The sequence below is a fragment of the Homo sapiens genome, chromosome 4 (assembly GCF_000001405.40).
Source record: "Homo sapiens chromosome 4, GRCh38.p14 Primary Assembly".
Lineage (NCBI taxonomy): Eukaryota > Metazoa > Chordata > Mammalia > Primates > Hominidae > Homo > Homo sapiens.
Window position 1 is genome coordinate 77,511,455 of NC_000004.12, and position 15,159 is coordinate 77,526,613.

General features: G+C 39.9%; 1 protein-coding gene across 1 annotated transcript in view; it reads left to right on the plus strand.

The window, feature by feature from the left end:
* The first annotated feature begins 298 nt into the window (after window positions 1–298).
* Window positions 299–15,159, plus strand: part of CXCL13 (C-X-C motif chemokine ligand 13) — a 100,082-nt gene continuing 85,221 nt past the window's right edge. The window contains exon 1 of the mRNA NM_006419.3: window positions 299–334. The gene's annotated coding sequence lies outside the window, so the exon portion shown is untranslated. The remainder of the gene's footprint in view (window positions 335–15,159) is intronic.

Below are 15,159 nucleotides of genomic sequence, written 5' to 3' on the forward strand. Positions count from 1 at the left end.
AGATATTAAACAAGGCCTATCAAGAGAATCCAAAGTTCTGTTCCTAGCATGAGAAATTTTAGACTTGGTATGTCTCTGAGGATTCTTTATCTCTAACTTCAGACTGAGGTAGACTGCTATAAATATTCTGCAGGCACACATGCACATATACATTACCCTGAGCATTTCAGGGTCCCAGTTGTCACCCTTGTAAAATGAGAGGATTGGACAAGTTGACGAAGGTCCCCAGGTCCCACAGATTTAATCTAATCATCTCTGACTACTCTTGGACCATTACATTTATTCAAGGGAGCGAAAGGAGAAGATGTTTGAAAAAACTGACTCTGCTAATGAGGTGAGAGGTTGAATATGTCAACCCTACCAATTCTCCAGTGGCTGGGTAACTTCCAGAGTTAATGTCTATCATTCTTTTTGAACTGGGGCAGCCCTCATCTGGAATTTGTTTCCAAGTTATACTAAGGAATGTGTATGTTCTATTTGTTCTGAGTCTCAAATCAAGGGTTTGGAAGCCCCCAGAATCATTGTTGGAGCACTGTGCCATGGAGCACCTTGAAGATCCACTTCCAGGTAATGGAGAGAGGCCTTGGTTGTATAGTCTGTTCAGAGGACTAACCGTTCAGAACATTTTTCTTTGATCGAAACTTTAAAGCTCATTCGACTTAAACTGTGAATCTGATTTTTACTTCCATATTATTCAATGAGAAACAGGGAAACTAATTAGCCTGCTTGCTGCCTCTTTAATTCTTGTTTTCTCATTAGATTCATCCTGACCATCTCTCAGTTTAGTGTAGTTACAGCATTAAATAAATTTAGTGGCAAAATTTGTAGTTAATTTTATAGAAGTCAGGAAATGCAGAGTATCAAAGAGTAAATTTATGTAATTCTATCATCACATGTTGCTGCTATTACTACTTCTATTAGTTTGCTAGAGCTTCCATAGCACAGTAACACATACTGAGTGGGTTGAATAATAAAGTAATTGTCTATCCATCCTGGAGGCTAGAAATCCAAGATCAGGATGTCAGCATGGTTGGTTTCTTCTGATGCTTCCCTCTTTGGCTTGTAAATGGCTGTCTTCTCCCTTGCTCTTCATAGGGCCTTTTCTCTGTGTGTCTGTGTCCAAATTTTCTCTTCTTATAAGGACACCAGTCATATTGGATTAGGGCCCATCCTGATGATCTCATTTTAACTTAATTGCCTCTTTAAAAACCCTGTCTCCAAATACAGTATTATTCTAAGATACTAGAGGTTAGGACTTGAACAGATGATTTGGGTGGTGGAAGGACACAATTTAACCCAGAACATTACTTTAGTGTATATTTTTTGTTATTGTTATTATTATACTTTAAGTTCTGGGGTACATGTGCACAATGTGCAGGTTTCATACATAGGTATACATGTGCCGTGTTGGTGTGCTGCACCCATTAACTCATCATTTACGTTAGGTATTTCTCCTAATGCTATACCTCACCACTCCCCCAACCCCACGACAGGCCCCAGTTTGTGATGTTCCCCATCCTGTGTCCAAGTGTTCTCATAGTTTAATTCCCACCTATGAGTGAGAACATGTGGTGTTTGGTTTTCTGTCCTCGTGATAGTTTGCTGAGAATGATGGTTTCCACCTTCACCCATGTCCCTGAAAAGGACATGAACTCATCCTTTTTTATGGCTATTCCATATACACCATGGTATTCCATGGTGTATATGTGCCACATTTTCTTAATTCAGTCTATCACTGATGGACATTTGGGTCGGTTCCAAGTCTTTGCTATTGTGAACAGTGCCACAATAAAGCATGTGTCTTTATAGTAGCCTGATTTATAATCCTTTGGGCATATACCCAGTGATGGGATCGCTGGGTCTAATGGTATTTCTAGTTCTAGATTCTTGAGGAATTGCCACACTGTCTTCCACAATGGTTGAACTAATTTACACTCCCACCAACAGTGTAAAAGCATTCCTATTTCTCCACATCCTCTCCAGCATCTGTTGTTTCCTGACTTTTTTTTTTTTTTGAGACGGAGTCTCACTCTATTGCCCAGGCTGGAGTGCAGTGGCACAATCTCAGCCCACTCCAAGCTCCGCCTCCTGGGTTCACAGGATTCTCCTGCCTCAGCCTCCTGAGTAGCTGGGACTACAGGTGCCCACCACCAGGCCAAGCTAATTTTATTGTCTTTTTAGTAGAGTCGGGGTTTTACCATGTTAGCCAGGATGGCCTCCATCTCCTGACCTTGTGATCCACCCAACTCAGCCTCCCAAAATGCTGGGATTACAGGCATGAGCCACCACACCTGGCCTGTTTCCTGACTTTTTAACTATTTCCATTCTAACTGGTGTGAGATGGTATCTCTTTTTTTTTTTTTTTTATACTTTAAGTTTTAGGGTACATGTGCACAATGTGCAGGTTAGTTACATATGTATACATGTGACATACTGGTGTGCTGCAACCACTAACTCGTCATCTAGCATTAGGTATATCTCCCAGTGCTATCGCTCCCCACTACCCCCACCCCACAACAGTCCCCAGAGTGTGATGTTCCCCTTCCTGTGTCCATGTGTTCTCATTGTTCAATTCCCACCTATGAGCGAGAATATGTGGTGTTTGGTTTTTTGTTCTTGCAATAGTTTACTGAGAATGATGATTTCCAATTTCATCCATGTCCCTACAAAGGACATGAACTCATCATTTTTTATGGCTGCATAGTATTCCATGGTGTATATGTGCCACATTTTCTTAATCCAGTCTGTCATTGTTGGACATTTGGGTTGGTTCCAAGTCTTTGCTATTGTGAATAGTGCTGCAATAAACATATGTGTGCATGTGTCTTTATAGCAGCATGATTTATAGTCCTTTGGGTATATACCCAGTAATGGGATGGCTGGGTCAAATGGTATTTCTAGTTCTAGATCCCTGAGGAATCACCACACTGACTTCCACAATGGTTGAACTAGTTTACAGTCCCACCAACAGTGTAAAAGTGTTCCTATTTCTCCACATCCTCTCCAGCACCTGTTGTTTCCTGACTTTTTAATGATTGCCATTCTAACTGGTGTGAGATGATATCTCATTGTGGTTTTGATTTGCATTTCTCTGATGGCCAGTGATGGTGAGCATTTTTTCATGTGTTTTTTGGCTGCATAAATGTCTTCTTTTGAGAAGTGTCTGTTCATGTCCTTCGCCCACTTTTTGATGGGGTTGTTTGTTTTTTTCTTGTAAATTTGTTTGAGTTCATTGTAGATTCTGGATATTAGCCCTTTGTCAGATGAGTAAGTTGCGAAAATTTTCTCCCATTTTGTGGGATGCCTGTTCACTCTGATGGTAGTTTCTTTTGCTGTGCAGAAGCTCTTTAGTTTAATTAGATCCCATTTGTCAATTTTGGCTTTTGTTGCCATTGCTTTTGGTGTTTTAGACATGAAGTCCTTACCCGTGCCTATGTCCTGAATGGTAATGTCTAGGTTTTCTTCTAGGATTTTTATGGTTTTAGGTCTAACGTTTAAGTCTTTAATCCATCTTGAATTGATTTTTGTATAAGGTGTAAGGAAGGGATCCAGTTTCAGCTTTCTACATATGGCTAGCCAGTTTTCCCAGCACCATTTATTAAATAGGGAATCCTTTCCCCATTGCTTGTTTTTGTCAGGTTTGTCAAAGATCAGATGGTTGTAGATATGCGGAGTTATTTCTGAGGGCTCTGTTCTGTTCCATTGATCTATATCTCTGTTTTAGTACCAGTGCCATGCTGTTTTGGTTACTGTAGCCTTGTAGTATAGTTTGAAGTCAGGTAGCGTGATGCCTCCAGCTTTGTTCTTTTGGCTTAGGATTGACATGGCGATGTGGGCTCTTTTTTGGTTCCATATGAACTTTAAAGTAGTTTTTTCCAATTCTGTGAAGAAAGTCATTGGTAGCTTGATGGGGATGGCATTGAATCTATAAATTACCTTGGGCAGTATGGCCATTTTCACGATATTGATTCTTCCTACCCATGAGCATGGAAGGTTCTTTCATTTGTTTGTATCCTCTTTTATTTCATTGAGCAGTGGTTTGTAGTTCTCCTTGAGGAGGTCCTTCACATCCCTTATAAGGTGGATTCCTAGGTATTTTATTCTCTTTGAAGCAATTGTGAATGGGAGTTCACTCATGATTTGGCTCTCTGTTTGTCTGTTATTGGTGTATAAGAATGCTTGTGATTTTTGCACATTGATTTTGTATCCTGAGACTTTGCTGAAGTTGCTTATCAGCTTAAGAAGATTTTGGGCTGAGACATTGGGATTTTCTAGATATACCATCATGTCATCTGCCAACAGGGACAATTTGACTTCCTCTTTTCCTAACTGAATACCCTTTATTTCCTTCTCCTGACTAATTGCCCTGGCCAGAACTTCCAACACTATGTTGAATGGGAGTGGTGAGAGAGGGCATCTCTGTCTTGCACCAGTTTTCAAAGGGAATGCTTCCAGTTTTTGCACATTCAGTATGATATTGACTGTGGGTTTGTCATAGATAGCTCTTATTGTTTTGAGATATGTCCCTTGAGTACCTAATTTATTGAGAGTTTTTAGCGTGAAGTGCTGTTGAATTTTGTCAAAGGCCTTTTCTGCATCTATTGAGATAATCATGTGGTTTTCGTCTTTGGTTCTGTTTATATGCTGGATTACATTTATTGATTTGCATATATCGAACCAGACTTGCATCCCAGAGATGAAGCCCACTTGATCATGGTGGATAAGCTTTTTGATGTGCTGCTGGATTCAGTTTGCCAGTTTTTTATTGAGGATTTTTGCATCAATGTTCATCAAGGATATTGGTCTAAAATTCTCTTTTTTGGTTGTGTCTCTGCCCGGCTTTGGTGTCAGGATGATGCTGGCCTCATAAATGAGTTAGGGAGGATTCCCTCTTTTTCTATTGATTGGAATAGTTTCAGAAGGAATGGTACCAGTTCCTCCTTGTACCTCTGGTAGAATTCGGCTGTGAATCCATCTGGTCCTGGACTCCTTTTAGTGGGTAAGCTATTGATTATTGCCACAATTTCAGCTCCTGTTATTGGTCTATTCAGAGATTCAACTTCTTCCTGGTTTAGTCTTGGGAGAGTGTATGTGTGGAGGAATTTATCCATTTCTTCTAGATTTTCTAGTTTATTTGCATAGAGGTGTTTGTAGTATTCTCTGATGGTAGTTTGTATTTCTGTGGGATCAGTGGTGATATCCCCTTTATCATTTTTTATTGTGTCTATTTGATTCTTCTCTCTTTTTTTTCTTTATTAGTCTAGCTAGTGGTCTATCAATTTTGTTGATCCATTCAAAAAACCAGCTCCTGGATTCATTAATTTTTTGAAGGGTTTTTGTGTCTCTATTTCCTTCAGTTCTGCTCTGATCTTAGTTATTTCTTACCTTCTGCTAGCTTTTGAATGTGTTTGCACTTGCTTTTCTACTTCTTTTAATTTGATGTTAGGGTGTCAATTTTGGATCTTTCCTGCTTTCTCTTGTGGGCATTTAGTGCTATAAATTTCCCTCTACACACTGCTTTGAATGTGTCCCAGAGATTCTGGTATCTTGTGTCTTTGTTCTCGTTGGTTTCAAAGAACATCTTTATTTCTGCCTTCATTTTGTTATGTACCCAGTAGTCATTCAGGAGCAGGTTGTTCATTTTCCATATAGTTGAGTGGTTTTGAGTGAGTTTCTTAATCCTGAGTTCTAGTTTGATTGCACTGTGGTCTGAGAGATAGTTTGTTATAATGTCTGTTCTTTTACATTTGCTGAGGAGAGCTTTACTTCCAACTATGTGGTCAATTTTGGAATAGGTGTGGTGTGGTGCTGAAAAAAATGTATATTCTGTTGATTTGAGGTGGAGAGTTCTGTAGATGTCTGTTAGGTCCACTTGGTGCAGAGCTGAGTTCAATTCCTGGGTATCCTTGTTGACTTTCTGTCTCATTGATCTGTCTAATGTTGACAGTGGGGTGTTAAAGTCTCCCATTATTAATGTGTGGGAGTCTAAGTCTCTTTGTAGGTCACTCAGGGCTTGCTTTATGAATCTGGGTGCTCCTGTATTGGGTGCATATATATTTAGGATAGTTAGTTCTTCTTGTTGAATTGATCCCTTTACCACTATGTAATGGCCTTCTTTGTCTCTTTTGATCTTTGTTGGTTTAAAGTCTGTTTTACCAGAGACTAGGATTGCAGCCCCTGCCTTTTTTTGTTTTCCATTTGCTTGGTAGATCTTCCTCCATCCCTTTATTTTGAGCCTATGTGTGTCTCTGCATGTGAGATGGGTTTCCCGAATACAACACACTGATGGGTCTTGACTCTTTATCCAATTTGCCAGTCTGTGTCTTTTAATTGGAGCATTGAGTCCATTTACATTTAAAGTTAATATTGTTATGTGTGAATTTGAACCAGTCATTATGATGTCAGCTGGTTATTTTGCTCGTCAGTTGATGCAGTTTCTTTTTAGTCTCAATGGTCTTTACATTTTGGCATGATTTTGCAGCGGCTGGTACCGGTTGTTCCTTTCCACGTTTAGTGCTTCCTTCAGGAGCTCTTTAAGGGCAGGCCTGGTGGTGACATTTGCTTGTCTGTAAAGGATTTTATTTCTCCTTCATTTATGAAGCTTAGTTTGGCTGGAGATGAAATTCTGGGTTGAAAATTCTTTTCTTTAAGAATGGTGAATATTGGCCCCCACTCTCTTCTGGCTTGTAGAGTTTCTGCTGAGAGATCCGCTGTTAGTCTGATGGGCTTCCCTTTGTGGGTAACCCGACCTTTCTCTCTGGCTGCCCTTAACATTTTTTCCTTCATTTCAACTTTGGTAAATCTGACAATTCTGTGTCTTGGAGTTGCTGTTCTGGAGGAGTATCTTTGTGGCGTTCTCTGTATTTCCCTAATCTGAATGTTGGCCTGCCTTGCTAGATTGGGGAAGTTCTCCTGGATAATATCCTGCAGAGTGTTTTCCAACTTGGTTCCATTCTCCCTGTCACTTTCAGGTACACCAATGAGATGTAGATTTGGTCTTTTCACATAGTCCCATATTTCTTGGAGGCTTTGTTCATTTCTTTTTATTCTTTTTTCTCTAAACTTCCCTTCTTGCTTCATTTCATTCATTTCATCTTCCATTGCTGATACCCTTTCTTCCAGTTGATCGCATCAGCTCCTGAGGCTTCTGCATTCTTCACGTCGTTCTCGAGCCTTGGCTTTCAGCTTCATCAGCTCCTTTAAGCACTTCTCTATATTGGTTATTCTAGTTATACATTCGTCTAAATTTTTTTCTAAGTTTTTAACTTCTTTGCCTTTGGTTTGAATTTCCTCCTGTAGCTCATAGTTTGATTGTCTGAAGCCTTCTTCTCTCAACTCTTCAAAGTCATTCTCCATCCAGCTTTGTTCCATTGCTGGTGAGGAACTGCGATCCTTTGGAGAAGGAGAGGTGCTCTGCTTTTTAGAGTTTCCAGTGTTTCTGCTCTGTTTTTTCCCCATCTTTGTGGTTTTATCTAGTTTTGGACTTTGATGATGGTGATGTACAGATAGGTTTTTGGTGTGGATGTCCTTTCTGTTTGTTAGTTTTCCTTCTAACAGAGAGGACCCTCAGCTGCAAGTCTGTTGGAGTTTGCTAGAGGTCCACTCCAGATCCTGTTTGCCTGGGTATCAGCAGCGGTGTCTGCAGAGCAGTGGTTTTTTGTGAACCGTGAATGCTGCTGTCTGATCGTTCCTCTGGAAGTTTTGTCTCAGAGGAGTACCTGGCCATGTGAGGTGTCAGTCTGCCCCTACTGGGGGATGCCTCCCAGTTAGGCTGCTCAGGGGTCAGGGGTCAGGGACCCACTTGAGGCAGTCTGCCCGTTCTCAGATCTCCAGCTGCGTGCTGGGAGAACCACTGTTCTCTTCAAAGCTCAGATGGAAATGCAGAAATCACCCGTCTTCTGCGTCACTCACGCTGGGAGCTGTAGACCGGAGCTGTTCCTATTCGGCCATCTTGGCTCCTCCCCCATGAGATGGTATCTCATTGTGGTTTGATGTGCATTTCTCTGATGACCAGTGATGATGAGCATTTTTTCATGTGTCTGTTGGCTGCATAAATGTCCTCTTTTGAGAAGTGTCTGTTCATATCCTTTGCCTACTTTTTGATGGGGTTGTTTTTTTCTCATGAATTTGTTTGAGTTCTTTGTAGATTCTGGATATTAGCCCTTTGTCAGATGGGTCAATTGCAAAAGTTTTCTCCCATTCTGTAGGTTGCCTGTTCACTGTGATGGTAGTTTCTTTTGCTGTGCAGAAGATCTTTAGTTTAATTAGATCTCATTTGTCAATTTTGGCTTTTGTTGTCATTGCTTTTGGTGTTTTAGACATCAAGTCCTTGCCCATGCCTATGTCCTGAATGGTATTGCCTAGGTTTTCTTCTAGGATTTTTATGATTTTAGGTCTAACATTTAAGTCTTTAATCCATCTTGAATTAATTTTCGTATAAGGTGTAAGGAAGGGATCCAGTTTCAGCTTTCTACATATGGCTAGCCAGTTTTCCCAGCACCATTTATTAAATAGGGAATGCTTTCTCCATTTCTTGTTTTTGTCAGGTTTGTCAAAGATCAGATGGTTGTAGATGTGTGGTGTTATTTCTGAGGGCTCTGTTCTGTTCCATTGGTCTATATCTCTGTTTTGGTACCAGTACCATGCTGTTTTGGATACTGTAGCCTTGTAGTATAGTTTGAGGTCAGGTAGCGTGATGCCTCCAGCTTCATTCTTTTGGCTTAGGATTGTCTTGGCAATGCGGGCTCTTTTTTGGTTCCATATGAACTTTAAAGTAGTTTTTTCCAATTCTGTGAAGAAAGTCATTGGTAGCTTGATGGGGATGGCATTGAACCTATAAATTACCTTGGGCAATATGACCATTTTCAAGATATTGATTCTTCCTACCCATGAGCATGGAATGTTCTTCCATTTGTTTGTGTCCTCTTTTATTTCCTTGAGCAGTGGTTTGTAGTTCTCCTTGAAGAGGTCCTTCACATCCCTTGTAAGTTGGATTCCTAGGTACTGTATTCTTTTTGCAGCAATTGTGAATGGGAGTTCACTCATCATTTGGCTCTCTGTTTGTCTGCTATTGGTGTATAGAAATGCTTGTGATTTTTGCACATTGATTTTGTATCCTGAGACTTTGCTGAAGTTGCTTATCAGCTTAAGGAGATTTTGGGCTGAGACAATGGGGTTTTCTAAATATACAATCATATCATCCTCAAACAGGGACAATGTGACTTCCTCTTTTCCTAATTGAATACACTTTATTTCTTTCTCTTGCCTGATTGTCCTGGCCAGAACTTCCAACATTATGTTGAATAGGAGTGGTGAGAGAGGGCATCTCTGTCTTGTGCCAGTTTTCAAAGAGAATGCTTCCAGTTTTTGCCCATTCAGTATGATATTGGTTGTGAGTTTGTCATAAATAGCTCTTATTATTTTGAGATGTGTTCCATCAATATCTAGTTTATTGAGAGTTTTTAAGAAAAAGTGCTGTCGAATTTTCTTGAAGGCCTTTTCTGCATCCATTGAGATAATCATGTGGTTTTTTGTCACTGGTTCTGTGTATGTGATGGATTATGTTTATTGATTTGCGTATGTTGAACCAGCCTTGCATCCCAGGGATGAAGCCAACTTGATCGTGTTGGGTAAGATTTTTGATGTGCTGCTGGATTTGGTTTGCCAGTATTTTATTGAGGATTTTCACACGGGTGTTCATCAGGGATATTGGACTAAAATTCTCTTTTTTTGTTGTGTCTCTGCCAGGCTTTGGTATCAGGATGATGCTGGCCTCATAAATGAGTTAGGGAGGACTCCCTCTTTTTCTATTGATTGTAATGATTCCAGAAGGAATGGTACCAGCTCCTCTTTGTACCTCTGGTAGAATTCAGCTGTGAATCCATCTGGTCCTGGACTTTTTTTGGTTGGTAGGCTATTAATTATTGCCTCAATTTCAGAGACTGTTATTGGTCTATTCAGAGATTCAACTTCTTCCTGGTTTAGTCTTGGGAGGGTGTATGTGTCCAGGAATTTATCCATTTCTTCTAAGTTTTCTGGTTTATTTGTGTAGAGGTGTTTATAGTATTCTCTGATGGTAGTTTGTATTTCTGTGGGATCGGTGGTGATATCCCCTTTATCATTTTTTATTGTGTCTATTTGTTTCTTCTTTCTTTTCTCTTTATTAGTCTTGCTAGTGGTTTCTCAATTTTGTTGATCTTTTAAAAAAAACAGCTCCTGGATTCATTGATTTTTTGAAGGGTATTTTTGTCTCTCTTTCAATTCTTCTCTGATCTTAGTTATTTCTTGCCTTCTGCTAGCTTTTGAATTTGTTTGCTCTTGCTTCTCTAGTTTTTTTAATTGTGATGTTAGGATGTCAATTTTAGATCTTTCCAGCTTTCTCTTGTGGGCATTTAGTGCTATAAATTTTCCTCTACACACTGCTTTAAATGTGTCCCAGAGATTCTGGTACATTTTGTCTTTGTTCTTATGGTTTCAAAGAACATCTTTATTTCTGCCTTCATTTTGTTATTTACCCAGTAGTCATTCAGGAACAGGTTGTTCAGTTTCCATGTAGTTGTGCAGTTTTGAGTGAATTTCTTAATCCTGAGTTCTAATTTGATTGCACTGTGGTCTGAGAGATGGTTTGTTGTGATTTCTGTTCTTTCACATTTGCTGAGGAGTGCTTTACTTCCAACTATGTGGTCAATTTTGGTATAAGGGCAATGTGGTGCTGAGAAGAAAGTGTTTTCTGTTGATTTGGGGTGGAGAGTTCTGTAGATGTCTATTAGGTCTGCTTGGTGCAGAGCCGAGTTCAATTCCTGGATATCTGTCTAATATTGACAGTGGGGTGTTAAAGTCTTCCATCATTATTTTGTGGGAGTCTAAGTCTCTTTGTAGGTCTCTAAGGACTTGCTTTATGAATCTGGGTGCTCCTGTATTGGGTGCATATATATATTTGGGATATTTAGCTCTTCTTGTTGAATTGATCCCTTATCCATTATGTAATGGCCTTCTTTGTCTCTTTTGCTCTTTATTTGTTTAAAGTCTGTTTTATCAGAGACTAGGACTGCAACCCCTGCTTTTTTTTTTTTTTTTTTTTTTTTTTTTTTGCTTTCCATTTGCTTGCTAGATCTTCCTCCAATCCTTTATTTTTGAGCTTATGTGTGTCTCTGCATGTGAGATGGGTCTGCTGAATACAGCACACTAATGGGTCTTGTTTCTTTATCCAATTTATCAGTTTGTGTGTTTTAATTGGGGCATTTAGCCCATTTAGATTTAAGGTTAATATTGTTATGTGTGAATTTGATCCTGTCATTATGATGTTAGCTGGCTATTTTGCCCGTTTATTGATACAATTTCTTCATAGCATCGATGGTCTTTACTATTTGGCATGATTTGCAGTGGCTTCTACCAGTTGTTTCTTTACATGTTTAGTGCTTCCTTCAGGAACTCTTGTAAGGCAGGCCTGGTGGTGACAAAATCTCTCAGCATTTGCTTATCTGTAAAGGATTTTATTTCTCCTTTGCTTATGAATCTTAGTTTGGCTGGATATTAAATTCTAGGTTGAAAATTCTTTTCTTTAAGAATGTTGAATATTGGCCCCCACTCTCTTCTGGCTTGTAGAGTTTCTGCTGAGAGATCAACTGTTAGTCTGATGGGCTTCCCTTTGTGGGTAACCCGACCTTTCTCTCTGGCTGCCCTTAACATTTTTTCCATCATTTCAACCTTGGTGAATCTGACAATTATTTGTCTTGGGGTTGCTTTTCTCAAGGAATATCTTTGTGGTGTTGTCTGTATTTCAGGAATTTGAATGTTGGCCTGCCTTGCTATGTTGGGGAAGTTCTCCTGGATAATATCCTGAAGAGTGTTTTCCAACTTGGTTCCATTCTCCCGATCACTTTCAGGTACACCAATCAAATGTAGATTTGGTCTTTTCATAGAGTCGCATATTTCTTGGAGGCTTCGTTCATTTCTTTTTACTCTTTTTTTCTCTAACCTTGTCTTCTCACTTTATTTCATTAATTTGATCTTCAGTGACTGATACTCTTTCTTCCACTTGATCAAATCAGCTACTGAAGCTTGTGCATGCATCACGAAGTTCTCGTGCCATGGTTTTCAGCTCCATCAGGTCATTTAATGTCTTCTCTACACTGTTTATTCTACTTAGCCATTTGTCTAACTTTTTTCACGGTTTTCAGCTTCCTTGTGATGGGTTAGAACATGCTCCTTTAGCTTGGAGAAGTTTGTTATTACCGATTTCTGAAGCCTACTTCTGTCAACTCATCAAAGTCATTCTCTGTCCAGCTTTGTTCCATTGCTGGCAAGGACCTGCAAACCTTTGGAGGAGAAGAGGTCCTCTGGTTTTTAGAATTTTCAGCTTTTCTGCTCTGGTTTCTCCCCATCTTTGTGGCTTTACCTACCTTGGTCTTTGATGTTGGTGACCTACAGATGGGGTTTTGGTGTAGATGTCCTTTTGTTGATGTTGATGCTATTCCTTTCTGTTTGTTAGTTTTCCTTCTAACAGTCAGGTCCCTCAGCTGCAGATCTGTTGGAGTTTGCTGGAGGTCCACTCCAGACCCTGTTTTCCTGGGTATCTCCAGTGGAGGCTGCAGAACAGCAAATATTGCAGAACAGCAAATATTGCTGCCTGATCCTTCCTCTGGAAGCTTTATCCCAGAGGGGCACCTGCCTATATGAGGTGTCAGTTGGCTCCTACTGGGAGATGTCTCCCAGTTAGGCTACATGGGGTTCAGGGACCCACTTGAGGAGGTAGTCTGTCCATTCTCAGAGCTCAAATGCCATGCTGGGAGAACCCCTTCTCTCTTCAGAGAAGGCAGACCAGGATGTTTAAGTCTGCAGAAGTTTCTGCTGCCTTTTGTTCAGCTATCCCCTGCCTACAGAGGTGGAGTCTATAGAGGCAGTAGGCCTTGCTGAGCTGTGGTGGGCTCCACCCAGGTCGAGCTTCCCAGCCACTTTGTTTACCTACTCAAGCCTCAGCAATGGCAGATGCCCCTCTCCCAGCCAGGCTGCCACCTCACAGTTCGATCTCAGGCTGTTGCACTTTCTCCATGGGCATGGGACCTGCCAAGCCAGGCATGGGAGAGAATCTTCTTGTCTGCCGGTGGCTAAGACCTCGGGAAAAGTTCAGTATTTGGGCTGGAGTGTCCTGTTATTCCAGGTACAGTCTGTTGCAGCTTCCCTTGGCTAGGAAAGGGAAATCCCCTGTCCCCTTGCACTTCCCGGGTGAGGCTATGTCCCACCCTGCTTCAGCTCACCCTCTGTGGGCTGCATCCACTGTCCAACCAGTCCCAGTGAGATGAACCAGGTACCTCAGTTGGAAATGCAGAAGTCCCCTGTCTTCTGCATTGATAGTGCTGGGAGCTGCAGACTGGAGCTGTTCCTATTCAGCCATCTTGGAACAGAGCACCACTTTAGTGTATATTCTTATATACCTCAATCATACACAAATATTTTTACTTTACAAAATTAGACCATGCATCAGATTATGCTATGGTTTGAATGTATATGACAAAATTCACATGTTGGAAGCTTAATCCCCAATGCAACAGTGTTGGGTGGTGAGGCCTAATAAGTGGTGAATGGATTAGTGTAGTTATCACAGGAGTGGGTCAGTTATCTCTAGAGCAGCACTCTCTCCCCCATGTGCTCTCTTCTGCCTTCCATTATAGGATGATGCAGCACAAAGGCTTTTCTCTGATGCTGGCCACATGTTCTTGGACTTCCCAGCCTCCAGAACAGTGAGCTAAATTTCCGTTCATTAAAAATTACTCAGTCTCTCTGTCTCAGAGCACACCGACTGACTGTTGATGTGTGTAACAAAGTGTTTATTTTCTTCAAATAACCAGCTCTATAATAATTCTTTATGTTTCCAGAAGTCTGTTTAGCTTTCTTCAAAGGAAGATTTTTCTCATTTGGGGGGTTTTCTTGATTTTAGGGTGGTAAGATTTCTTTCTTTTTTCCTTTTCTCCTAAAATCAATGCAGGTGAGAGTGGATGGGTAAAGGATTTTGTTTTTAAACAGCATGTTAGGTATACTTGTGTGGGTGGAAGTGTTGTTAGTATTTTTCTATGAATCTTGATTAATACTGTCTATTAGCTCTCATGGCTGGTCAGCAAAATGCGTGAATGTTTAGCTGTAGAACATATGACACAGTTGAGTCTTTTTTTTTTAAGAAAAGTGAACACAGAATTGAAGGAATTAACATGTACATGTTGCCTTTTGTTAGAATGACTAAGTTAAACCTCTTGATTTTTATTTGTCCAAGGCAAACATGACATAAGGATTATGCACTACCAAAATAACACTCATGGTCACAGAAACTATGCTGCAAGCACACCTGGGGTTCTTTTAAATGGTCATGGCCATGATGGTGTGAATTCCATCAATTCAGCAGATGGGTGGGGAAATGAAAATTTTCCTCTAAACTTTTAGGCAAAGGTAGGCTTTTTTTAAATTGTGGGTTTGTTTTTTTTTTATTATTTTTGCCTTCATTTTTAAATCTTAAATGCTACTACTGCAGGCCACAACATGACAAACAATGAGCAGCTAAAGAAACAATGAAAAAGCATTTAAAAAAACTCCTGTGTTAGCTAACAGGTTTCTAGAGGTATCACTGTGGTCCACAGAGAAGACTGCAGAAGGTAGCAGAAAGATGTTGTATTAACTACCACAGCCTTAAAACAAAGTTGGTATATCTTTGGATCATAAAATTGTTCCTAGGCAGCTTATTTTATTTTTTGGTTAATCAAATAAACAAGAGGTTTGTTTCATGGCAAATATTAAATAAACAATATCCTAGTCTCAGGTATTCTGTTATAGTAACAGAAAATAAAAGAGATAACATAAATTAATATATTAAATTTAAAATTTTAAATGTGAAACATTCATCTAATATGCTTAAAGGTTGAATGCCAACTCATTATATAAATAAAACCTTCATACTACAGAGTGCTTCACATTGTAAAATATGATGTATGTCTTAGTTTAATCCCAGGGAGGGTGATAATAACAATACTAGATAATATTAAAAGGCAAATGATGGAAAACACACTCAAAGGGGGAAAAGTCCATGGTAATTTCAAATCTACATGAAGCAACCCTGAAATATACTTCTTAACTCACCAAATCTGAGCATTTATTACATAATTGGCTCTTAGC